This window comes from Homo sapiens, chromosome 2 (genome assembly GCF_000001405.40).
Source record: "Homo sapiens chromosome 2, GRCh38.p14 Primary Assembly".
Lineage (NCBI taxonomy): Eukaryota > Metazoa > Chordata > Mammalia > Primates > Hominidae > Homo > Homo sapiens.
The window spans coordinates 182,091,604-182,118,206 of NC_000002.12; the positions used below are offsets into that span (position 1 = coordinate 182,091,604).

The 26,603-nt window shown below is 38.0% G+C and overlaps 1 protein-coding gene across 6 annotated transcripts in view, besides 1 other annotated feature; it reads left to right on the top strand.

Annotated features, from left to right (window-relative positions):
* PPP1R1C (protein phosphatase 1 regulatory inhibitor subunit 1C) overlaps nt 1-26,603 on the top strand; it is a 176,906-nt gene that overhangs the window by 137,124 nt on the left and 13,179 nt on the right. For 3 of the 6 annotated variants that reach the window (NR_048567.2, NM_001080545.3, XM_017003451.1), the window contains one exon: nt 25,604-26,153. Coding sequence is in view for 4 of the 6 variants with exons in the window: in NM_001080545.3 (NP_001074014.1) it covers nt 25,604-25,692 (89 nt within the window). In the remaining 2 variants the exon portion in view is untranslated. Of the gene's footprint in view, nt 1-25,603; nt 26,154-26,603 lie in introns of those variants that run through there. The other 3 variants (NM_001261424.2, NM_001261425.2, NR_048566.2) reach the window with 2 other exon arrangements.
* Nucleotides 18,885-19,386: an enhancer, noted in NCBI's record as "NANOG hESC enhancer chr2:182975215-182975716 (GRCh37/hg19 assembly coordinates)". NCBI's record gives its function as "activates a minimal SCP1, AML or CMV promoter by ChIP-STARR-seq in primed H9 embryonic stem cells {active_cell/tissue: H9 hESC(primed)}" and the evidence as "EXISTENCE:reporter gene assay evidence [ECO:0000049][PMID:30033119]".

Genomic DNA, 26,603 nt, shown 5'->3' on the forward strand with positions numbered 1-26,603 from the left:
GAAGAAGGGAGTAGAGAGGATACAAAGAAGTTCTACAAAACCCTGAGGAGACTGGAGTTAGGATGTGTATGGACATCCCACCCGGCACCATCAGCACTTCCAATGACCCCATGCCCTGCTTGTTTTTCTTTTCTCTGTAGCACTGATTACCTTCAATAGTGCTATATACCTCACCTATTTGTTCCAATTATTCTTTCTCTCACTTACCTTTCCACCCTCAATCTCCTTTGGGATATTCTCATTTCCCACCATTTCCACTTACCCTTTAGATGCACCTGACTTCCCAGGGCTTTATAAAGTTTACAGATCTTTGTCTTTTGTTCTTTCTTATATTTTAAGCCCCTAGAACATAGTGACACTCAATAATTATGTGTTAAATAAAAATATGTTGGATTGTAGAATTTAAAAAAATGTAGGGATGAGTCTGAAAGTCTGCATTTTTTACCTACAAAGTAGGAATAATTAAGCTGCATGGAAGGAGGGCTAGAGAGAGTGTATTAGTCCGTTTTCATGCTGCTGATAAAGACATACCTGAGACCAGGCAATTTACAAAAGAAAGAGGTTTATTGGACTTACAGTTCCACATGGCTGGGGAGGCCTCAGAATCATGGTTAGCAGCAGACAGAAAGAGAACTTGTGCAGAGAAACTCCCATTTTTAAAACCATAACATCTGTGAGACCCATTCATAATCATGAGAACAGCATGGGAGAGACCTGCTCCTATGATTCAACCATCTCCCACCGGGTCTCTCCCACAATATATGGGAATTATGGGAGATACAAGATGAGATTTGGGTGGGGACACAGAACCAAATCATATCATTCAGCCCCTGGCCCCTCCCAAATCTCATTTCTTCACATTTCAAAGCCCATCATGCCTTCCCAACAGTCTCCCAAATTCTCAACTCATTTCATCATTAACTCCAAAGTCCACAGTCCAAATTCTCATCTGAGACAAGGCAAATCCCTTCCACCTATAAGCCTGTAAAATCAAAAGCAAATTATATACTTCCTAGATCTAATGGCGGTACAGGCATTGGTAAATACAGCCATTCCAAATGGGAGTAATTGGCCAAAACAAAGGTGCTACAGGCCCAATGCAAGTCCAAAATCCAGCAGGATAGTCAAATCTTAAAGCTCCAAAGTGATCTCCTTTGACTCCATGTCTCACATCTAGGTCACACTGATGCAAGAGGTAGGTCCCCATAGTCTTGGGCAGCTCTATCCCTGTGGCTTTGCAGGGTACAGCCTCCCTTCTGGCCGCTTTCACAGGCTGGCATTGAGTATCTGCAGCTTTTCCAGGTGCACAATGCAAGCTGTCAGTGGATCTACCATTCTGGGGTCTGAAGGACGGTGGCCCTCTTCTGACAGCTCCACTAGTTGATGCCCCAGCAGGGACTCTTTGTGGGGGCTTTGACCCCACATTTCCCCTCTGCACTGCCGCAGCAGAAATTCTCCATGAGGGCCCTAACCCCTGCAGCAAGCATCTGCCTGGACATCCATGCATTTCCATACATCCTTTAAAATCTAGGTGGAGGTTCCCAAACCACAATTCTTGACTTCTGTACACTATCAGGCTCAACACCATGTAGAAGCTGCCAAGGATTGGGGCTTCCACCCTCTGAAGCCACAGCCTGAGCTCTACATTGGCCCCTTTCAGCCACAGCTGGAGTAGCTGGGACCCAGGGCACCAAGTCCCTAGGCTGCACACAGCATGGAGACCCTGGACCTGGCCCACGAAACCACTTTTTCCTCCAGGAAAAAGGCTCCAGGCCTGTGATGGGAAAGGCTGCTGAAAAGACTTCTGACATGTCCTGGAGACATTTTCCCCATTGTATTGGGGATTAACATTCAGCTCCTCGTTACTTATGCAAATTTCTCCAGCCAGTTTGAATTTCTGTTCAGAAAATGCGATTTTCTTTTCTATTCCATTATCAGACTGCAAATTTTCCAAACATTTATGCTCTGCTTCCCTTATAAAACTGAATGCCTTTAACAGCACCCTAGTCACCTCTTAATGCTTTGCTGCTTAGAAATTTCTTCTGCCAGATACCCTAAATCAACTCTCTCAAGGTCAAAGTTCCACAAATCTTTGGCAAAAGCAAAATGCCACCAGTCCCTTTGCTAAAACATAATAAGAGTCACCTTTGCTCCAATTCCCAATAAGTTCCTCATTTCCATCTGAGACCACTTCAGCCTGGACATTATTGTCCATGTGACTTTCAGCATTTTGGTCAAAGCCATTCAACAAGCCTCTAGGAAGTTTCAAACTTTTCCACATTTTCCTGTCTTTTTCTGAGCCCTTCAAACTGTTCCAACTCCTGCCTGCTACCCAGTTCCAAAGTCTCTTCCACATTTTCTGGTATCTGTTTAGCGGTGCACCACTCTGCTCATACCAATTTATTGTATTAGTCCATTTTCACACTGCTGATGAAGACATACCAGAGACTGGGCAATTTACAAAAGAAAGTCATGATCTTCAGTAGGCTAGTCATTATTGGACTTACAGTTCCACATGGCTGGAGAGGCCTCACAATCTTGGTGGAAGGCAAGGAGGAGCAAGTCACATCTTATGTGGATGGTGGCAGGCAAAAAAAGAGCTTGTGCAGAGAAACTCCCACTTATAAAACCATCAGAGACCCATTTGCTATTACAAGAACAGCATGGGAAAGACCTGCCCCCATAATTCAACCATCTCCTACCAGGTCCCTCCCACAACACGTGGGAATTACGGGAGATACAAGATGAGATTTGGGTGGGAACACAGAGCCATACCATATCAGAGAGATTTCAAATATACTGAAAGTTAAACATTCAGTACAGACTGGTCCCCAATATGACAATTTTTCAAGTTTAGCCTGGTGGGAAAGCTATATGAATTCAGTAGAAAAAGTACTTTAAATTTTGAATTTTGATCTCTTTCCAGGCTAATGACAGGAAGTATGATAGTCTCTTGTGATGCTGGGCAGTGGCAGTGAGCTACAGCTCTGGGTCAGCCATATGTTCAGGAGGGCAGACAACCGACAGTCTAGAGTGAACTGTGTTGTGATACGATTTTGCCCAACTGTAGGCTAATGTAAGTGTTTAGGCTGGAGGTTGCACTTTTTTGAATTGCAGATGTGTAAAAAATCAGACCTTGCGATGACCTTGAGCAGTAGGATATATATAACTCCCACATGCTTAGTGTTCCAATAATGGAACAGTAGGCATAAATGGATTAAGGTAGGCCAGGCCAAGCTATGATCTTCAATAGGCTAGGTATATTAGATGCATTGTTGACTAGTGACGTTTCAACTTACTATGGGTTTATCACAATGTATCCCCATTGTAAGCCAAGGAGTATCTATGTATAGATCAAAGGTCATTCGTGGAAGCTCATGAACCCCATTTAAGAAGTGGCATGTTGGCCAGGAGCGGTTGCTCATGCCTGTAATCCCAGCACTCTGGGAGGCCGAGGCAGGCGGATCATGAGGTCAGGAGTTGAAGACCAACCTGGCCAACATGGTGAAACCCCATCTCTACTAAAAATACAAAAAAAAGAAAAAATCAGCTGGGTGTGGTGGCATGGACCTGTAGTCCCAGCTGCTGTGGAGGCTGAGGTGGGAGAATCGCTTGAACCCCAGAGGCAGAGGTTGCAGTGAGCTGAGATCGTGCCACTGTATTCCAGCCTGGGTGACAGAGCGAGACTCCATCTCAAATAAAAAAATTAAAAAAAAAGGAGTGACATGGTTTACTTACCCTATATAATCTTTTTAAAATTAGCTGCTATCATTAAACATTATTTAACATGACATTTTAGATATTTGGCTTGTCTCAGAAAGTAAGAAGATGTAGCCATATGGTCGTCATTTACAAAGTTCCCACCATTCATTATTGTATCCCTAAACCCTAAGTTTAATGTCAGCTGTCTTTTATTATTAAGCTTGTGCTATTGTCTTTTAGTGTGGCTCCTTTATCACTTCTGTCACTCCCTTGGCCTCTTTATGTGGTAGTGTCTATAATCCATAATATTGGTAGTTTTCAATGTATAAATAAGTTGTCTTCCAATGGGGCTGCAGAGGAGAAAAAGTAATATCTTTTCTTTACCCATCAGATGGGTAGTAACTGGCCAGGAGCAGTGGCTCATGCCTGTAATCCTAGCACCTTGGAAGGCCAAGGCAAAAGGATCCCTTGAAGTCAGGAGTTTGAGACCAGCCTGGCCAACATAGTAAAACCCCATCTCTTAGTTGGGCATGGTGGCCTGTGCCTGTAGTCCCAGCTACTCAGGAAGCTGAAGCAGGAGAATCTCTTGAATCCAGGAGGTGGAGATTACAGTGAGCCAAGATCGCGCCACTGCACTCCAGCCTGGGCAACAGAGCAGGACTCTGTCTCAGACACACACAAAAAAACTCTAAAAAAAAAAAAAAGGTAGTACCTGATACCCCATAAAGAAAGACAGATTAAAAAGACAAAAGCATAATACATTTATTTAAATGAAGTTTTACAAGCCTTCAGAAATGAAACCCGAAATTCTAGAGAAAACTGTGTATTTTTATGCTGTCTGATGAAAGAAGTAGGTAGTTGTGGGAAAACATAATTGGACAAAAAGGGCTATAATTTAATGGTAAAAACGGGGGAATTTAGCAAGCCTTGTTTGTTCAGATCCTTTTTGGCTTCTGGGTACAGGGTGGGACTTCTCTGGATTGAGGGTCATATGACCCTACTTTCAGGCAAGGAAGGTCAGAGAATTTCTTTATGACCATGTTTCAGTGGAGAAAGGCAGGAGAAAGACAGAGTGACCTTGCTTCTGTGGATTTCTGATTCGTTAAGGTGCCATCTTTTGGGGTATTGTATTCTGAGTCCGTACACGGCTTTCCAATGCCCTTAGAAATAGATCAAATTTCTTAGCTTAGCTAATCAGGCCCTACATGATCTGGTGGCTCCGACTCCCGTGACCTCCCCTCGCAAATCTACACCTGGCTTTAAATGCGCTCCTATTTTCTATCTTCAGTGGTCCTTTTTCTTGTTCTTAAATAGGCCAAGCAGCTTTTAGCCTTTATATTTTCAGTTTACTTTACTGGGATTCCCTTCCTCCAGATGATTAACATGGCTGGTTCCTTTGTTATCTCCCAACAGTGAGAGTGAAGGCCATAGTTCTCTTTCCGCAAAACCCTGATTCCTGTCCTAATTTTGCCACCCACACACACATTTGTTATCAAGTAGCTCCTTCTGTCAAAATCATGCAAGTTGTTCTGAAATTTCAATACAACTCAGCCTTCTGTCCTTTCAAGTTCTTCTAACTTCCATGAAAAGCTTGCTCAAGAAACAGCTGACAATTTCTTGGTGTCAGGATTAATTTAAACTTTTAGTCAGAATCAGGTGACAAAGACTGCACACAGAACAGACTGGAATCCTAAAACTGGGTTGCAGTCTGAAGAACATACACTATTACTAGACTTTTAAGCCCATTTATGCAAATGCAAGGGTACCTATTCGATATGTCCAGCTAACAGACATATCTCTGATACCACTCATTTCTCCAAAGAAAAATTATTTCTAGCACACTATATGCTAATTAATAAACTTTCTGGTCTTGATTGGAGTTACAAATATTGCTCTTCTGGAGGAGGTTTTTCATTAGAGTCCTTTAAATGTTCACTAACTAGTCCTCGAGTGGTAGTTTTCATTAATGTACTTGAAATATTTACCTGCCACCCCTAATGTGCTAGGTTAAAACACAGACTCACTCCTGAACACATACACTCACACATCACACATTCTCTCTTCTGATTTGTCTTCTAGTAAGTTATAGAAAACATAAGTATTGGGAATCGCTTCTGTATAGTACAAATGAGTGAGAATCCTTCCACTGCTACCCCCACCACAAACAACCACATACACACCAGTTCTAAGTGAATTGACAGGGGAATAAAAACTTAGTTTACTACTGGGATGGGGACTAAGAATCATTGGTTCACCCCTTTAGTCTTTCCATGAAACTGGTGAGATTTAAAGAAATTGTTTCTGGCACCTCCCATTTAACTTGGAATGTATTTTGTGACAGAAACAAGGCCTGTCTTAATTTGGCTTGAAATGGATCTGTTGGTTGTGCATTTCTGTATCTTTATGTGTTAAGTAGCTATTTCAGTCTTCCCAGAATGACTCTCATAAAACCTAGATTATGATTCTCCACTTCTTCTCTTCCTGCTCTCTCAGTAAATCATTGCACACAGGTGTACATGAGCAATTTATAATATACTGATCATTTTAAAGAATAAACTGAAGAGAGGGTTTCATATCAAATACTCCAAGGCAAACTCTTCTAAAATCATCTTGAGACATATCTCTTCTTTCAGGTCTCTTTTACCTCTCACGTGATCAAACAGATGTTTTTTTCTTCCTCTTTTCTTCCCCCAGACACTGCTCAGCTTCTGCTTAGTCCTTCTCTTCTTCTCTTCCAAAAGAAAAAGTGTTTCTTTTCTTTTACACGTGTAATAATCCTACCATGTCTCCATATCCTAGATGACAATTGATAACAGACACCCCCAACCCCTGGCCTCTACCATGAACAAGTTTATTGAAACAGCAAATGTAGGCCTTTCCTTCTAGAAGATTTGTATACCAGCAGCCTAGAAAAAAAAATTCCTCACACTGTTGCATTTGTACTTGTAGAAATATAGATTGAGTTCTCTGCACCACATGTATTTTTTGAAGCAGAAACTCATTTTAATTTGGAGATTTCTTGAGTAATAGAAACAAAAAATGCTCATTAACTTTGGATTTTCTTCAAATGTGATGGATGTGGTTTCTTATGATGATATTTCATGTATAACAAAAAGGCACAAGCTATTCTGTCTCAACACACACTAATCTAAAGTTATTTATGTAAAGAGTATTAACTTAAGAACAAATATCTAAAATAAGTAAGAGATCACCACAAGCTTTCTAAAATAATTTTGTTGAAAAAAATGAAAAATGTGATTCTAATAATCTACTTCTTCGACAGATGTAATCTGTCTCCCTACATTCTTCTGGTGATCATATTTTCTAGAAAAAAAATCAGAATTAAGAATATTTGTAATTTTGTAATAATATTAATGCAAGAAGTAGTTCAGATATTGGATTTCCTGGGACATTTCCATAATGTATGGGAAAAGTACTTCAGAACACTTGAAATTAGTACTGTCTTTGAAATATGTCTGCCTTATTCCAAAGTAAGCCCTACAAATAGAAAACAGGAAGCTATCTAAATATTATGATCTAAGGGACAGTACAAAGTCCTATGCCTTGCATTATCTTTACCTATCATAGTCTTTCTCAATGCCTGGACTAAAATTGCCATTACTTGAACGTTTCTTCTCAGGTATGAGAAAGTAATCTGTATTCTTCAGAAAAATATTGTTAAAATGTTTACTATTTTTTATTGCAAGGTGATGGGGGAGGTCACCAAATTAGTAATAACTTGTGACTAGAAAAATTAAGATCCTGGCAGAATGAGAAATTACACCATGGGGTGGGGGAAAACTAGATTTGAATTCAGGAACTTTGAGTTCCAGTGCTAGCTGTGATGTTGACTTGTCAAGAGATCATGGGCAACTCATGTAATCTTCAGCAGCCACAATTTCTCCAGTTTTGGAATAGAGTTAGTAGCAGTAGTACTTCCCAGTTTGATTTTTGCCTTAAAAAATTGAAAAGTGCTTTAGGATCAGGAAACTAATAGGGGAAGCAGAAGGGAATCGACTTTGGGTTGGCTAATGCTAATCATAAATATTGATAATATAGAATGAAGGTGCAAAGGAAAGAAGGAGGATGAAATTTCCAAAGTCATCCCTCCTGCCCCCACAAGACAGGTTAGCTGTCTCATGGGAACGCTGAGGTAAGTCATGCTTAAACAAAACCTCACTCTTACCTAGAATTGGCTGTGACCATAATACAAGGATAATTTAGGCAAGTGGGAGAATACAGATAAACAACAACAATAAAAATATGTATGGCATCAAGAATTATAGAATCATGGATCCTGGTTACTTATATTTTCAAAGCCAAATTGAAATAATGTGTTAGATAAGGAGGAAGCTCAAAGACTAATTTATTGGAGGATTTAAACAATTTTTCTTTGCTATGTTTCCCTAGAGACTTTAGGAGATTGCTTTTAAAGTCTTGTGCTATCATGCATGTCAGTATCTGATACAGTTTTATCCATAATTTACTAAAGGAGTAACAGTGGCACAGTGAAAGCTGACTGACCATAAATGCTTAGGGCTTTGTAGTATTAATATTATCGCCTCAGGAACCAAGGAAAGTATGAAATCAGCTGTGAAGATTTTGACCTCTGACCTGCAAGTCTATGATATATATCCCTTAAATAGGTGCCTTGTCCATAGGGAGACGATTAGAGACTTAACAAAAAAAAAGTCCCAAACTTTCTCTATTACCTCAGTTGTGGTACCGAGTCTAATGTTTAGACGTAACTTGAAAGATACTCCTGAGATAAAATGAAATATTTCCCATCTCTTTTTCTCAGTTCATCATAAGTGTCATTCAGAGGTAATGATACAGAAGAAAAAAGTACTTAAGTTGCCTTTCATTTCCCTTTTCTGTCTTCCATCTCAAAAGGAGATTCCAGGGAAGATATAAGACAGAGAGAGGCTGGGCGTAGTGGCTCACCCCTGTAGTCCCGGCACTTTGGGAGGCTGAGGCGGGTGAATCACGAGGTCAAGAGATTGAGACCATCCTAGCCAACATGATGAAACCCCATCTCTACTAAAAATACATAAATTAGCTGGGCATGGTGGTGCGTGCCTGTAGTCCCAGCTACTCGGGAGGCTGAGGCAGGAGAATCGCTTGAACCTGGGAGGTGGAGGTTGCAGTGAGCCGAGATCTCGCCACTGCACTCCCCACTAGCAACAGAGCGAGATTCCATCTCGGAAAAAAAAAAAAAAGACGGGGAGAATGCAAAAGTTAGGACACTTTGACACATCAAAAATCAAGTACAATTGGCTTAGGCAAAAGGGAAATTTATTGAAAGATTACTTGGTCACTTCCATTATTAAGTGAAAACCAACACCCAGGAAAGGAAGGAGGCAGCCTGCTGAACCTCAGGAAATAAAGGCTGCCTCTTTCCCATTCCCTTTGTTCCCTTTGTTCGCCTGTCTACTTCAGCCTCCACACCAGCTGCTGCCACCTTAAGTAGGAAACAGCGGTCATCAGGAGCAAACAATATCTTATGCCATTTACAATTCAAAAACTCCGTAATGATGACTTGGTTCTAGACAGCAAGATCATGGAGGAAGGATCGCGATTGTCCCAATGGTCAGAGGACAAGGCTGCATAAGAAGCAGGCAGGGCTGATTGTTTTCCCATGTTTGGTGGTCATGAGAAGAGCGGTTCCTGAAAGAAGGGGAGTGGGGAAAGTAATTCCCTATAAGAAAGGGAAGGTGGAGAGCACTGCTGAAAGAACTAAACAGTAGATCGCCATCATAAAGAACAAATTAGGAATATCTAGGGGATAATGTTACTCGGTGAGAAATAAACAAGCCTTCCTTAGAAACTTAGAAAATTATACCCTTTATTTCTGACTACTTCAAATTATGTTCTGGTAGTACCATTGGTGAATTTCCCGAGCAGGCAGCCTCCAATTGTAGAAAAGAATTGTGTTCCCAAAATTGACTTGTAAGGAGTTTGGATCTGAGAATACACAGAAACAATGCTACCAATGGTGTTTTTGCTTTTAGGTCAGTTTATAGGAGCAGAATCCTTAATATGCCTAAATTATTATACTAACAGTCCATTTCAATGTCACCAAATATCCATAAGAGAATCTTTCTCAAGAGTCCAGCTTCTGAGTACCATGAAATACATTTTACCTCCTAGTGGTGATTTCTTTTTACTGCATCAGGTCATGGTTGGGTAGATAAAGCATGAAAGGGAACTCTGCTGGGACTCCCAGGAAGTAGCAGTTTATTTGCTTTCTGTGTTGCTTTCTGATGCAGAGAATATGGAATAAAAGGCTGACAACCTGTGTTGTAGATTGAGTAACTGTTTCTTGCTCTGTGACTTCAGAAAACAGGCCTTGGTTTTCACATCTGTAATACGGTGTTGGTATGTGTACGTGTGCATATATGTGTGCTGGGAGCCAGGTGGACTGCCTTTTAAATTCAGCACTACCTTTTGAAGTTCTTTCCACCCTAAAAAGTCATGCTTCTGTGCTGAGAAAAGCACTTTCTCAAAGCCCTGTTACTGCTGAAGGGAAGGCTGCCCTCTGGGCCAGTAACTAGGTGGGGAGGAGACTAGAAGAGAGCAGCTCAGGAAAACAAGCTGCACTCCTTCAATGTCTGCTGATCTATATGAAGGCCTCCCTAGTAAAGCCAAGGGGGGTTTCTCACCACTCTCCTTTTTTGAGGTTCCCTGTATTAATAAATGAAGGAATGACAAAATAGGATTGTAAAAATTATGGAATTGTGAATATTTTCATTTGACAAATTAGCACAACAGAAATTATGATATAATTGAGCTACTAAGAATTAACTATAATATTTATAAAAAATCATTTATGGTACAATCTAAAGTAGTTCAGTAATTGAGTGTATGTGTGAAGTTTTATGAGAGACATGGAAAACATATTGTCAATAAATATGTCTGTTATTCTATATATGAACTCACCTGGAGATAGCATCAAAGACCTAATTTATGGCCACTTTTGTATGAAGCCCTAGTCAAAGGGCCTTTCTAGTAACTTTTGTGAGATGCCCTGTTCCCTCATGTTAGTAAAGTTATAGACTATTTCTAGTTAGAGTATCAAATCAGAAATAACAGTGCCGCACATTCTCAATGATCTCATTTTCCCTAATCATGTGATTGGTTATCTTATCAATTCTATTTTTTTCTCAGAGTAGTTTCTATCATTTGAGGAAGAAATAAAAGAATAAATATCCAAATAAAGATAACTAGACTAGCTGCACAATTACTTTGGGAAAAAAATTGAAATGATTATAAATCATATGCAGTGTGATAAGTCATGGACACAAGTTCAGGATACTTATTCCTCTCAAATTGTGGATTCAAATGAAATTCAATATGGGATTTTGAAAATACATCAATTTTATCAATGTTTAAAAAATTTTGTAACACAAAGATGATTTTTTTTGTAAATGTAATATATGTATGCTGAAAGTAAGGTTGTTTTCCCTACCTAGAGGAGCATTTGAAAATTTAGAAATAATGATATTTTATTAATTTTCTTATTTTTGAGGCAGGGTCTTGCTATGTTGCCCAGGCTGGAGTGCAGTGGTGCACCATCACAGCTCACTGCACTCCTGGACTCAAGTGAACCTCTCACCTCAGCTTCCCAAGCAGCTGAGACTACAGGTACACACCACCATGCATGGCTGATTTATTTTTTTATAGAGATGGGGTTTCGCCATGTTGCCCAGGCTGGTCTCAAACTCCTGGGCTCAAGCAATCCACCTGCCTTGGCCTCCCAGATTACTGGGATTACAGGTGTGAGCCCCGCTTCCGGCCAAGCCGTGATCTTAAAGCAATTCATTTATAATGTCTAAAAGTTGGGGGGAGGTTCTGATTTTGTTATTTAAAAAAAAATCTCAAGTTAGTGATACTTGTGTTGAGAAACTAAGTAAATTAAACACTTTTTCCCCTAGTTATTAAATTTGAATAGAGTGGAAATAACAAAAAGTTATCATTTTAAGCAAGAATTTTGTTTAATATTTTTTCTCTTTCATGTAATCTGTATGAAATTGCTAGTCCTTATAAAAGTTGAGCAATACATTGCTCCTTTGCTTTAAGTATTCTTCAGAAAATTTTGTAAATAGGAAGAATTAAAGAAGAGGTATTAGCTTATCTATGGAGTTTGTTAAAATCTATGTAAAAAGAAGAGAGGCTGTGATGTTACATGTGGAAGACAACTAAAACAGACCAACTGTAGGGCAGCAAATGAAAGAAGAAAGTAGGTCAGCGAGCCCCCTGGCGAACAACAAATTGCTATTATTTAAAAGGATGGTCAGAGAGTAAAACTGCCTGTGAACAAGAATGCTTAAGTGAACAATGGTAAATCTGATAGAAAAGCAGGGTCAGAGCAAAACAGTTGCAAAGCTCAGAGTGTAAACTGCATGTCCTCAGGTCAAGCAGAGGATGAAAAGCAGAACAATCTCCTCATTCAAGAAACTTCCTGGCGGCCAGCAAGCTGAGTAATGAGAAACAAACTGAGTGGAGGCCTTCCACAGAGTAAGTAGAAGCAAACAGCCTCAGGATATGGAGGGAATCGAGCAGATTTTGAGACTATAAACTCATCAGGATTCACACTTTCGATAAAAGAAAAGTTTCAGTAACAGGAGAATCACTGAGGGGACCAAAATACTTAATCAAATCTGTTGTCATCACTTACTTGTAAAAGCCATGGACCCGATGGGATTAATTAAGTGTGTTTGGTGATCAGAAAGCATTGTCAGGGAAAGCACCATTCCTTATTTTCATTTTTAAGATTTACTGTGCTTTTTCTTGCCACTAGGTAAAATTTGAGGATCAATTATATAAGATCATGTTGTCTGCAAACAAGGGCAATTTAACTTCTTCCTTTCTAATCTGTGTGACTTGTATTGCTTTTTCTTGCCTACTTGCTCTAGCTAGGACTTCCAATACTATGTAGAATAGAAGAGGTGACAGTGGGAACTCTTGTCTTGTTTCTGGTCTTCCATTGAGTATGATGTTAGCTATGGGGTTGTCATACATATATGGTCTTTATTAGGTTGAGGTATACTCCTTTTATACCTAATTTGTTAAGTGGTTTTATCATCCATTTATTATGAAATGATGTTGAATTTTGTCAAATACTTTTTCTGCACCTATTGAGGTGATCATATGGTTTTTATTCTTTATTCAGTTAATGTGGTGTATCACACTTATTGATTTGTATATGTTGAACCATCTTTGCATCCCAGGCATAAATCCCAGTTGATCATAATGTGTGATCCTTTTAATGTGCTATTGAATTTGATTTACTAGTATTTAGGTGATTTACTAGTATTTAGGATCCTTTCAATGTGCTATTGAATTTGATTTACTAGTGTTTATTTAGGTGAGGATTTTGCATCTATGTTCATCAAGGATATTGGTTTGTAATTTTCTTTTCTTGTGGCATCCTTTTGTGGCTTTGGTATAAGGTTAATGCTGGTCTCTTAAAATGAGTTTAGAAGTGTTCCCTCATCTTCAGTATTTTGGAAGATTTTGTTAAAGTTTGGTATTAGTTGTTTAAATGTTTGGCGGAATTCAGCCGTGAAGCCATCATGTCCTGGGCTTTTCTTTGAAGGGAGACTTTTTATTACTGACTCAATTGCCTTACTTGTTATTAATCTGTTCATGTTTTCGTGGCATTAGAAATATTTTAGCAGAATGGAAGAAACTGACAATGCAAAAGAGAGTGGCTAAAATTTTAGGAGTGTTCTTTGAAAGGGGAAGAGATATTGTAAAAAAAAATGAGGGGTGGAAAAAAAATGAAGGTTGAATCTTAGGAGATAAGGCAGATATATGGGTGCAGATTCAAATATATTAGTAGATTTGGCCAGGCTGATGTCATTTCTTTAATGATTGCTTTGCTTTACTATGTAAAATCAGCTGAGTTTGAGGAAGGTGTGGGAATGTTGAAGATTTGAGGAGTGAATAGCATTCTGAGACAATTTAAGACAGATTTAAAGAGGGAAATAGAGTAGATTTTTCAGGAAATGTTGAAGCCCACTTAAAAATTGTGGTCAAAAATTTTATGTGACATCCGTCAGCATAGTTTTAGGCTTTTGTCAGTTGTGCTTCTCCATTGGGGTTCAGGCATTCTGTAATTACAGAGAGGTGGATTTTTATCACAATTGTAGGTTTGTCAGATGAGTACCACAGAAGAGAGAAGGGCAAAGGTGTGGGGGTCTAGGTAAGGAAGCTTTATAGTGACGGGAGAGGGAATGGGTCATCTTGGTGGAGACTGAAGTCTTCAAGAATGATTTTAGGAGAACTGGTATAAAGAAATTTAGGGAAGTGCTATAATCTCCAGAGAATTTGATATGATCATGAAGTTGGTAGATGACAGCATAAAAGAAAGGAAGATTTGATATAGTCTGATAGCAGGTGCTTCCAAGAAGCTGAATGTTTCATTGGCAGCAGGAGAAACGCAGTAGCTGTGTTTTAAATCCAACTGAGGGTATATCACAATGGTATTGGGGAGGATGGGGATTTCCCATACACAATTCAACGCTATGGATGTATTAGTTTGCTAGGGTTGCCATCACAATGTGCCATAACAACCACAACTGGGTGGTTGAAGCAGCAGAAATGTATTGTCTCACAGTTTTGGAGACCAGAACCCTGAGACAACGGTGTCCTCAGAGTTTGTTTCCTCTGAGGGCTGAAGGAAAATCTGTGTCATGCCTCTCTCCTAGTGTCTAGTAGCCTCAGATTTTCCTTGGCTTATAGATGGTGTTCTCTGTGTGTTTTCATATCATTTTCCTTCTGTACAAAACTGTCTCTGTGTTCAAATTTCTCCCTTTTTTAAGGATACAATTGATACAGGAGTGGGGCAGGGAAGTACTGGGTAGAGAAGGGCTGTGTCCCTAGCAAGGGCTCCACCCTCGGGCCTGTGCCCAGGGGACCTAAGTGAGGACAGGCACTCCTGCTTTCAAGCCCCAATGTTGCATTTTCCAAGACCACTCTGGCCTGCCATGCCCCTATCTTGTGCCTATAAGAACCCTGAGATCCTAGCAGGCATACAAACGAGCAGCTAGATATTTAGAGGAGCAGAGGGGCAAAAAAGTGCACAGACAAGCACCAGCAGACGCTGTCAGGACATCGATGATGTGGACACCAAGGGGAATTTGGTTGAGGGTGGTGGTCGGACGAGAGCCCAGCCACTGAGTGGCCTGACTCCAGGGGAAGATCACCTTCCCACTCCATCCCACTTCTGGCTCCCCATCCATCTGCTGAGAGCTACCTCCACCACTCAGTAAAACCTTGAACTCATTCTCCAAGCCCATATGTGATCCAATTTTTTTCTTTTTTGGTACACTTGGGCAAGAATCCCCGGATACAGAAAGCCCTCTGTCTTTGCCATAAGGCATGGGGCCTAATTGAGCTGATTAACACAAGCCACCTGCAGACAGCACAACTAAAAAACTAAAAAACTGAAAAACTAAAAAAGCACACTGTAATATGCACCACTAGGGCTTCAGGAGCTGTAAACACTCAATCCTAGACCCTGATGTGGGGTTGGAGCCCCACGACTTGCCAGTGTGCATGCTCCCCATAGAGGTTTGAGCAGGGGGACACCAGAAGAAGCAAGCCACACCCCCACTGCATGCCCTTCGAGGGGTATAAGGAAAAACTCCTCCCATTTCACAGTCATTTTGGACTAGAGCCCAATCTTATGACCTCACTTTAACTTGAGGAACTGTTAAGACACTATTTTCAAATAAAGTCACATTTACAGATACTGAGGGCTATGAATTCAACATCTTTTTGGGGCACACAATTCAATCTATAACAGTGGGCTTTCCTTAAATTCTTCCAATGGTAATACATTGCCAGGGGAAAATGAACTTGCCAGAAACTTTGGTAATCTTTATTAATTTTTAAAATTTGTAATCTTTCAATATGTCATGGTCTGAGCAAAAATTGACTTTTAAGTAGAGACGTCAGAATTTGCATGATTCCAATGAAGTATTTTTGCCCAGAATTCTTCTAATCTAGGTATTAGAATGCTTAAAATTCATCAGTTCTTTCAGATTAAACGTTGTCCCCATCCTTGCCATTGTTTAAAATTCAAGCATTCTTGTCTGAGAGTCATTCCTGCCTTATTTTCCTGGAGATGTCATGGATATGAGAAAAATGTTTATAAAAACACTTTTAAAAATACAAAAACATTGTAGAGACGGAACGAAAAACAAATTAACAAGGTTTTACAAGTGGTGAGACCTAGTGTTGGCCTACTCCTCACCTTCTCTTATGCAACTGGACACAGCTTTACTGATGGTCTTATTTTGAACTCATGACTACAGAACCTCTGATGGGCACTTAGTACTTTCTGACAGGCACACTACCTTTCCTTAGTTCATTCTCTCTTCCACTCTCTGAGATGTCTATTACAGTGTATCCTTTCTCTGCAAACCTCCAGCACATCCTCCTCTTTCTCAGTCTTATCTAATGAGCTTGCTTTCTACTTTGAGAAAACCAAAGCCATGAGAAGAGAACTTTTGGACTCCCACCATGAGGTCTTCTCGCCTACCACATCTGTTCCTTTTCATAGCCTGCCTTTCTGCTTGCTATTGTAGGTGAACGTTTTGTGCTTTTCTCTAACAGCAACTCCTTCAGTTGTGCAATATAGCTATCCCCACCTGCATTCTGAAACATTGCTCTAGAAATTCTTCCGTCTGTTTTCTATGTCATAGTTTTCCTCCTCCCTATGGGATCATACCCATCAACAAACAAGTATCCTCTATTGTTTCCTAGGTTAAAAAATTCCTGTTTGGATGGAAATGTTTGTTATCTTGAATGTAGTAATGGTGTCACAGATGCTAACATCTGTCAAAACTGATAAAATTGTACACCTTGAATATGTGCAGTTTACTGTATTTCAAATATACCTCAATAAAATAGGAAAAAATTCTATTTGACCTCACTGTTCCTATAGCTAATACAGTATTTCTTAGCTCTCTCTTGCAGAAGAACTTCTTGGAGTAGTTGGGTACATTCACTGCTTTCATCTCTTCTCTTTTCAGACTCCTGGACAGTCTTCTTTTTCTGTGCCATCCTGTTCTCTTTGCACTCTTAATGTTGGAGTACTCCAGGGCTCAGCTTTTGAACATGTTTTCTTCTTTACTCATTCCCTTTCTCGGGGATCTTCAACTGTTTAACGGTTTTAAATGTTGTCTACATAATGATGACTTCCACATTAATACCTGAGCCCAGAATTCTCTTCTGAATTTCAGACACATAATAACCATATATTCATTTGGGTATACATTGTAACTATCAAATTTACTATGTTTGGCATCAGATATTCCATATAAAACTTTCTTCATCTAAATCTTCCCCATCTTAGTTAATGATTATTCCATTTTTTCTGTTACCTTGGCCAAAAACTTTGGTGACATACTTGACTGTCTTCTTTTTCTTATAATCCATATCCAGTTTTCCAGCAAATACTATTGATTCTGTCTTCCAAGGTTTTGCAGTTATTAATAAAGCTGCTATAAATATCTATGTGCAGGTTTTTTGTGTGGACATCAGTTTTCGATTCATTTGGGTAAATACAAAGCAGTGATTTCTGGATTGTATAGTATGTTTACTTTTGTAGGAAATTGCCAAACTCTCTCTCAAAGTTGCTGTACTATTTCTCATTTCTGTTGCTCCCTGTCTTCGCTAGCATTTCTCAGTGTTTTGTCAGGTGTTGTCAGTGTTTTGGATTTCAGCCACTCTCATAGGTGTGCAGTAGTATCTCATTGTTTTAATTTGCAGTTCTTAATGAAAGATGATGTTGAACATCTTTTCATATGCTTACTTGCCATCTATGTATCTCCTTGGCTGTTCAGACCTTTTTTTTCCATTCTTAATTGGATTGTTTGTTTCCTTACTGTTGAGTTTTAAGAGTCCTTTGTATGTTTTGGATAGTAGCCCTTTTATCAGGTGTGTCTTTTGCAAACATTTTCTCTCAGTCTATGGCTTGTATTCGCATCCTTTACATTGTTTTTCACAGAGCAGATGTTTTAATTTTAATGAAGAACAGCTTACCTGTTTCTTTTCTTTCATGGATTATGTCTTTGGTGTTGAACCTAAAAAGCCATCCCCATATTTAAGGCTACCCAGGTATTCTCCTATGTTATTTTCTAGGAGTATCATAAATGTGTGTTTTACATTGAAGTCTGGATCAATTTGGGTTTTTTTGGTGAAGAGTGTAGTGTCTGAATCTAGATTATTATATTTTTTTGCATGTGGATGTCCAGTTGTTCAAGTTCCCGTTTGTTGGAAAGACTGTCTTTGCTCCATTGTATTCCCTTTTCTCCTTTGTCAAAGATTAGTTGACTACATTTACATGAGTCAGTTTCTGGACTCTCTATGCTGTTCCATTGTTCTCTTTGTCTGTTTTTTCACCACACACTCTCTTGATTACTGTAGTTTTATAGTAAGTCTTAAACTAAAGTAGCATCAGTTCCCCACCTCCAGAGGTCCCTTCAAGTTCCCACCTTAGCTGCTGGCCAGATTCAGCCACCACTGGGCATGTTCACAAATTATCTCGTTGATGATGACTGAGAGTCAGTTGAAGTTGTAATATTTGTGCTCCATAAAAAGCATATCAGGACTGACATATATAACTAGAATGCAAATTTATTAATTCAAAATAAGAAATGTCATCGTCAGGTGAACATAAGACTAGCCTAATCCGTGCCTTCTCTCCTAGTAAGCAAGCTGGTGTTCTATTGCCCAGCAAGTTTACTACAATTCACAATAATACAGAGTATACCTCAAGACAGCTAAAAGACAGGATTTTAAATGTTTTTACCACAAATAAATTATTAATAAACATTTGAGGTAATGGATATACTATCTACTCTGATTTGATCATTTCAAAATAAATGTATCAAAATATCACTCTGTACTCCGTATTTATATTAAAATTAATGAAAAATAAAATTTAATAAGGTTCATTATTAAAATAAATAATACATTGTTATATGTTAATTAAAATAAAATATAACTTTAAAAACTGATATATAAAACCAGAATGTTTATTTATCAATTCAAAATAAATGACTACTATCAGGTGAAGACAATATTATTCTAGTCAGAGCCTTCTCTCCTTGTATGCTAGCTCTGTTGCTATCAGAGGTTTTCCTTGGTGAGCTCAGAGTCAGAGCTGGGTGATTGAATTATGTGACTGGGGCATACACTGGCAACAGTCTGTGGTAGCCTGTGGTAACCATTGCTTTAATAGGGAAGTACCCTGCCCAGAGGACAGAGCCTTTAAAATGCCAGCACAGGATGTTATTCTCTGGACATGGTAAAAGAAACACACACAACATTTGCTTCTGTGGCTGTAAATGCAACTCTCCTTTTGTTATTTTATTTTTAATGCTTTCAAGGCTAACCACTGACTCCTGCTGATCGATGCATTCTTTATTTTAGATATGCTATTGTGTTCAATCAATTGCAGTCAAGTCTTGCAGGCTAGGGAGCCATTCTGTCTCTTTCTAAAGTGAAATTGCCTAAACATTGTTTAGCTCCATTATGTGTAGGCTTAAAAATTTAACTCTACTTCTAAATTCATGGGGAATGCATTAGCTTCAGAAGAAAAATGGGCACTAGAGGGGCACATGACTGTGGAGGGCAAAAGCAGCAATCAGTCTATTAAAGTAATTCTCATCCTGGGCCAAGCAGCAGAATCCTTGCAACATTTTTAAAAAGAGAGAGAGAGATGATAAAGATGTGGGCTCTTTACGTTTTGATAAATGATACCATATTACTTTCCAAAGATATTGTTTGAATTCATATTTCTAATATTAATATGTAATAGTACCTTCTTCCCTACCTTCTTAGTATTTACTGCTAAACCTTTTATCTCAGCTTTGCTATTGGGTAACAGTTTTGGTAAAATATAGGTAAAAATATACAAAACATACTTATGAATAGCACATAAACATGTTGTCCCTATTTCCATGGATGATGAAGAGAAAATCATATTGCACGTTTATTCTTCTGCAAAGAAATGATGGCTTAAGTAATGGGGAGTTAAAGGATCATGTGTTGATTTGCAGCTTATATTAATTGGCTAGTCATTATATTAGAACAGAGATTAACTGTGCTGTCTACATATAATTTACGTCAAATAAAATAGAAAGGGATACATTTATGGTGAGTTCAGGAAATAATATGCTTTTAATTTTGAAATAAAATCAATATGTCCCTTGTTGTCTGTGACCTTCAGGATGTTAATGTATAGTTCTTTATTATAAATGAATGACAAGAGGATTGAACAATTACAATAAATATAAAAGCATTTTGAGAAATGTGAAATCTGAGAGATGGTGGACCTTTACTGAGGGGCCTTTCTGTTTTATATTATAGACTAAATATTATAGATTAAATTATATTGAGTCATAAAATTATAAATATATATAACTATACATACAATTATATAGAAATTATATTCCTAGCATTATTTTTGTGATAAACCTTAGGGTGCCAATACTCAAGGAACCCTTAGAAAGCCATCTTTCTAAGCCCACTGAAATCACTCCTTTGTATATAGGATGATTTCAGAAAATCAATGCCTGTTAAATCTATTTGCAAAAAGTTTTTGCGATAGGCACCAGGTTTGCTGTTTCCCATAATCTAATGAGTATGTTGCTCAATAAATGACAGTCCAAATTACTATCCATTGACTCGGAGCTCTTCTTTTCATTATCAGAATTTTCCTAATGCACCATTTGTTTTACTGATCCATAGCGCTTCTTCACTGAATTAGCTTCATTACATGCACACCATCGCCTTTTGGCTGACCTTCCCATCTGATTTGTACCTGTTTCTTTTTCATGCTCAGCACACAGTAGGGGCTTTATTATATTTAACACATACTGCTTGATGACTATGTCTCATCTCTACAGACTAGACCACAATATTTTTTTCTGTGTTTCCCAGAGTTCAGTCCAGGTTTGGGAACTGATCTAAATGCTATTTCTAACTTGGTTTTATCCTAGGAGTGTTCCTGGGCAAGGTTAAATTCTATTATCTTTCTGACTCCAAATTCTATTGAAAATCATGACAACCACAATAACAAAAGGATTGAAAAGTTATACCGAAATCTATCCATGATGTAATATCTTCTGATAATGAAAAGGGCCTCATGATCTTGAGTCACCATAGTTTTCTCAAATTCTAACTTTCTAAGAAATCAATAACAGTGGAAGATTAGGTCCTCGGAACCCAGGTAAAGAGCCCCCAATAGGAGTTAAGGGCCAAAGTTTGTGTCCCAGCTCAGCCAATAACCACTATGGGAATTTAAGCAAGTCACTTTACCATCTGAAACTGTTTCTTCATCTTTAAAGAGAGTAGAATTCAAATTCATAATTACTTGCAGATCAGAGACCCCACTGAGATTCTGCTGAAAACTATTGACCTCCTTCCCTGAAAAAGCACAAATACACTATAAATAGAATTCCAAGAAGGTCAGAAGCTCTTTAAAATCCACACATAGATTCCCTAAAGGACTTTAGAATGATTTACAATGGTCTAAAATATGTAGTTGAAAAAAATAAAATAAATCTATTTACATTTGCTACTCCCTATGTGAATTAGTTTTAAAATGTGTATTTGGGCCATTATATCATTTGACATTATAATTACTTTTTTGTAACTTATAGTACTCAAAACAGAGCTAATTTTTCAATAGTACAGAATATTTCCTTTGTGGATTAATAGCATCCTAGGATCTGCAAGGTTACGTGTTCACCCTGCTACTTAATGCAGGAATTATCTATAACCTGCCTCAGAGATGAAACTATAGCTTTGACTTGAACATGTACAGTGATGAGGAACTCACTCATTTGTTTATTTCTGGGCAAACATAAAGAATTTGGGAATTTCCTTTTTTATATTGAGTTATAATCTGCCTATACACATAAATGTCAGCCATTGACTCTATTTCTGCTCTTGGAAGCTACATAGATTAATTTTATTTCCTTTTCCAGTATTTTAGGAATTCAAAGTCAGGCTCTATTGTCCTCTATTAATTTCCTCTATGCTAAATATTCCAGTTTCATCTATAATTCCTCCAGAAAAGTGATGTCATAAAACTACCTTTTATCTCAATTCCCTTCTTAAACTAGTCCTCTTAAAATGCAGATGAGAACTAGGCAGCATGTTGCAGGAAAAGTCTGACCAACACGTGGTTAGAGAGCAATTCCCTTTCTCGTACTGCCAACTTCGCCACTAGGAATACCACCAACACTGCCAGGAGCTCTGTGCCTAGAAACACCAGGTCAAGTGAAATTGTGGTCACCTAAAATCCCTAACTATAATTAATTAAGGTTGCCCTTATACTCTTTTTTTTTTTTTAGAACTAAATTAACCTTTCTAAAAACAAAAATTCTGTTGAACTCTACCTTAATTGCTTAGACCATCATTCCAGCTCTTGGAAACCTTTACTCTTTGCCATTCATGTCATCTTTTCTTACAAATTTTGTGTTATCTACAAATGTAATGAGCCTCCTGTCTTTGGCTTCAGATTAATTGATTAAAAATATTGGCCTGTGGTTTGCCAAATATAAACCTCCCTCTATGGATTCAGTATTCAAAATTCTTCACTCAGTTACTTCACAACTTTTTTGAATCCACATTTAACCATTTGATCTACAGAATAGAGAAGAGAATAAGTATTATATTCTGCTTAGGGTCAAAATTTATTTCTTTTCCTTTTCTTCTTTTATTGTCTGCTTTCTTTTCTTCATTCCTTCACATTTTCATATGGCATATCCTTGTCTTCTAAATGGTCCCTTTTCCTGTGTGCTCATTTTGCTTCGAAGAAAAGAACCTTCAATGTGTTTTTTGGGATTCCTTGGTTTTCCGCCCATATGCAGCCCTAGCTGAGTCTGCACTTGCTCCTGAGGCTGATTGCCCTGTGCCAAGCCTCAAACCCTGTGCAGGGGAGGGATTTCCCTGATGCTTATTAGCATCTGGCAGAGGACGAAGCTCTGAGAATTTCAACAACATCCCCAGACCAATTCATTTTCATCCATCTCTAGAATTACATCAAATGTAAGTCTCCTCAAACATCAAATGGGGGTTTAAAGAAAATTAAACACAAATTATACGTGTGTTTTGGGATGCAGGAGAGGTGTAGGGAGAAAGAAATTATTACATAGTCCTCAGCAGGCTTCTCACTTTAATCTCAGCATTATTGCATCTATAATCAGATGAATATTGATGACAGGAAAAGAGAGAGATTGCCTTGAAGGCTGCTTCAAGGCACACATCAACCAATTGTTCATTATCCAATTGAAAGATGGTATTAGAGTAAACTGCTTTGGGAATCAAAGAATTCGTGGTAGATATTCTGCTGAACAGCTCTGTGGTAACATGTCACCTGCTCCTGCCTCATCAAAATGTTTCACCTGGAAATAGTAATGCCACAATTGTATAGGGCTAAGGAAGACCTTCTAACATTTGTCCAAGCGAGTGATTTTACTTTGAAAAAGGTTTGGCTTTTTCGTATAACTTTGTGACTATTATTATTATAAAATAAATTAAATGTTGTTCAGGGTAAACAAGCAGACCTATTCTCAAGTGTGGAAAGTGGGTGATTAATGGATTAATGAGTTAAACATCTTAATTACTGATTTTTTCCTTTATATTGAATCCCCTCATTTAGACAAATCAATAAGGACATTAGATTATTACCTCTTATTTAAAGAACATTATCTCAAACACAGATTTATTACTCTTGAGTTACCTTGTGAATGAAAAAGATGAGCTCTGGAGTCATTAGAACCTTTGCAAACCTGGCAAGATATAGTCAACCTCAGCTAAGGAAGAAGAGTGGTAGGTGGCTGAATGATTACTGTGTCTTAATATTTCAGAGGGAACCCCAAGACCTTGGTGCCAGGTTAATTGGTACTTCAAACCTATGATAAATCCTAGAGAATGATGGAAAGTTTGGGTCAGCAGCCAAAAAGCTAAAGGTGAAAATGAATCAGTGTCTCTTAATAATGGAACTTTATGACTTACTCATTCATACCCTCATTAATTCATTCAGTATATATTGAGAGACTATGATGTGTCAGAACTTCTCTTAGCATCACAATACTCTTACAACCTTGTACAAATCCTTTATCTTCTCTAAGTCTAAATTTTACTAGACAGGTGTTTACCACAAGGAGTTGTGAGGTTTAGTGAGTCATGTATGTAAGACTCAAGCAGAGTGACTGGTTGGACACTTAATAAACCCTCTTCCCTTTCCCTGAGCACTGAGACCTCCTTTTCAGGTAATTTATGATAATGTGAAGTGAATTCCATGTCTTAGCAACAAATTTCTCCCTACAGTCTTAGATCAAGAAGAATTGTGAGTAATGTAAGTTTTCAGATGAAATTAAAGTATTTAAATATTATTACAAGTGATAAAATATTTTTGCAATCCATGAAGTCCAAGGACGTCACTGTTTGCCAAATAGCATTCTGAGGCTTGCTGACAGCCGTACATGCAAACTTACACATTTCTTGAGACTCTTTGTTTTATAGCAAACATGAGGAATGACTTCCTTTCATTTATCAATTCTTACTAGAGTGTTTTTTAGTAATACTTAAAAAATCTAATAAACTAATTTTATAAGGTACAAAAAAGTGTAAAATTGCCCACGTTAACTATCACTATATGCAGAAAGTTTCAGCTACTCTGATATCTTAACAGAATAGACTCGAGGGAAATGAAAGATAATTTTGTAGATTGAGTGTGGTTGTTGTAATTGTCTTCTGATTTATACTCTAAATTTGAAATAATTTTGAAAAAAATCTAAAGATAGATTATTGTGGAACTGCCAAATGCATATACCAAACTGTTACTTCATTAATTCAATCAATGATTTAGACAATAAATATTAATGAGTACCTACTGTTTGCTAGGCACTGTGCCTGGGACTCCAAATTAAATTACATATTTCTCAGCATCGAGGAGTTTTCTCTGATGAGAAAGAGATGTAAACAAATACAGTTCTGTAAGGTAATTGACAATAGATGTTCTAAGAGCAGGGGGGAATATGAGAAAGTCTATCTACATGGGGAATTGGGGTAGCCATCAGAGAGGAGGCAAGCTGACACGAGAAGGGTGAGTGGGAGATTATCATGTGTGTGTGTAGGATGAAGATGTCTGGCAATGAGAACAGAACAAGAAAAGTATGAAAGCCTGAGGGAGCCTGGAGTAGCCCGGGGGAAAAGTAGGTTAGTGTTGTTAAGTGTAAATTACCCTGAAAGCAGGAAAGGCTGGTGAGAAATGGTAGAGAGCCCAGATTATAAGAGCCTTGTATAGCAGGCAAATGTATGCCAATGTTTTTCCCACTGTATAGGTTGTGGGGGAAGTTATTGAAGAATTTTGAAGAGAGAAGTTCCATAATCACTTTGGTATGTTTAGGTTCTGAAAGAAGATTCACAATATTCTGATTGTTTTGTTGTTTATAAGTTACAGAAATGGCACGCACACCCTTTTGTTCCTAGGGGTTTCAATAGTTCTTGTTGTAATAGAATTGAGGGATGCCAAAAGCAATATTTGAACTAAGTGATACATTAGAATTATAATAAGAATCTGTGAGCAGATTTTTAGTTAACAGGTTTTTAATAGGCTGTGATGCAATCCCTAATGGAGAAGCTTTAATTATGAAAGATAGCCTGCCTCTAATGGAAATTCAGCTGGGTATGTTTTTATTGCTCAGTGAATTAAAAGGTTTATATAGGATTACATTGTTAAGATTCTTGGAGAAAAACATATAAACACCAAATGAAAACTTTGCACTCTTTTCTTTATCTTTTGCAGCAAAGCGGTTAATATTCCAGAAATGAAAATCATTTAAATTTTGCATAATTTTTATAATTTCAGGGGTTAAGCATCTGAAAGGCCAGAATGAATCAGCATTCCCTGAAGAAGAAGAAGGCACCAATGAAAGAGAGGAGCAGCGGGACCATTAATTACTGGTCTGCAGCAAGAAGGCTTCTTGGAAATAACTGAACTATTAACTTTTCTGAGTATACCATGGAATTCCACTGCTTGACTTCCAGAAGCATCCTCCATCTCTGCACCCCACACTCATACAGTAGCTATGCACATCCTGGAAGTCTCCTTGACTGAACTTTAGAACTAAGTACACATTGTTCCACATCACTTATAATTAAAGAATAAGCATTTATTTTACAGTGATTCTTCTTTTTAACTATGTAAAAATTTGCATACATGTGACTGTTCTAACTTTAATACTGCCAGAGCTTAATCCTTGATGTCCTACTGATAAGGTTTGCATTCTAACAACACATGTAAATAACATCACTTTAAGAGTAAAAAATAAATAGTAAACACATTTAGACATGAGTGTGTGTGTGTGTGTGTGTGGGTTTAGCTTAAAGAGAAATATCTAATAAAGCTTTTAGCTTGAGATTTGCATTGATCATATTTCTGTATTCAGAACAGAACACAATGTTCATTTTTAAATGATGAAGAAATGCCAGTTTTCTTGATTCAATACACCACAATATTAGATACTAAACATCTTTTTCCCACCAACAACACATTAATGGTTGATTATACAACTACAGAATTCTCTTCATTTTCTAAGCTGCAAGATATATATTTCCCAGCATTTTCTCTAGTTATTAAGAAAGAAGAATGATAAATCCAAAAATCTATGCCAAATCTTCCTACCTCCTCTTTTAGCTATTACTTGAAATTTGGGCCATCTATTTCCTATTGCATTTTGATAAATAATATAGCAGTTTATAAATCTTCCATATCATAAAATAAGAAATTCCATTAATTCATTCATATAGTCATTTATTCATTAATTAAACAAATATCTTTTATGAGCTTATCCCTAGGAAGGTACTAT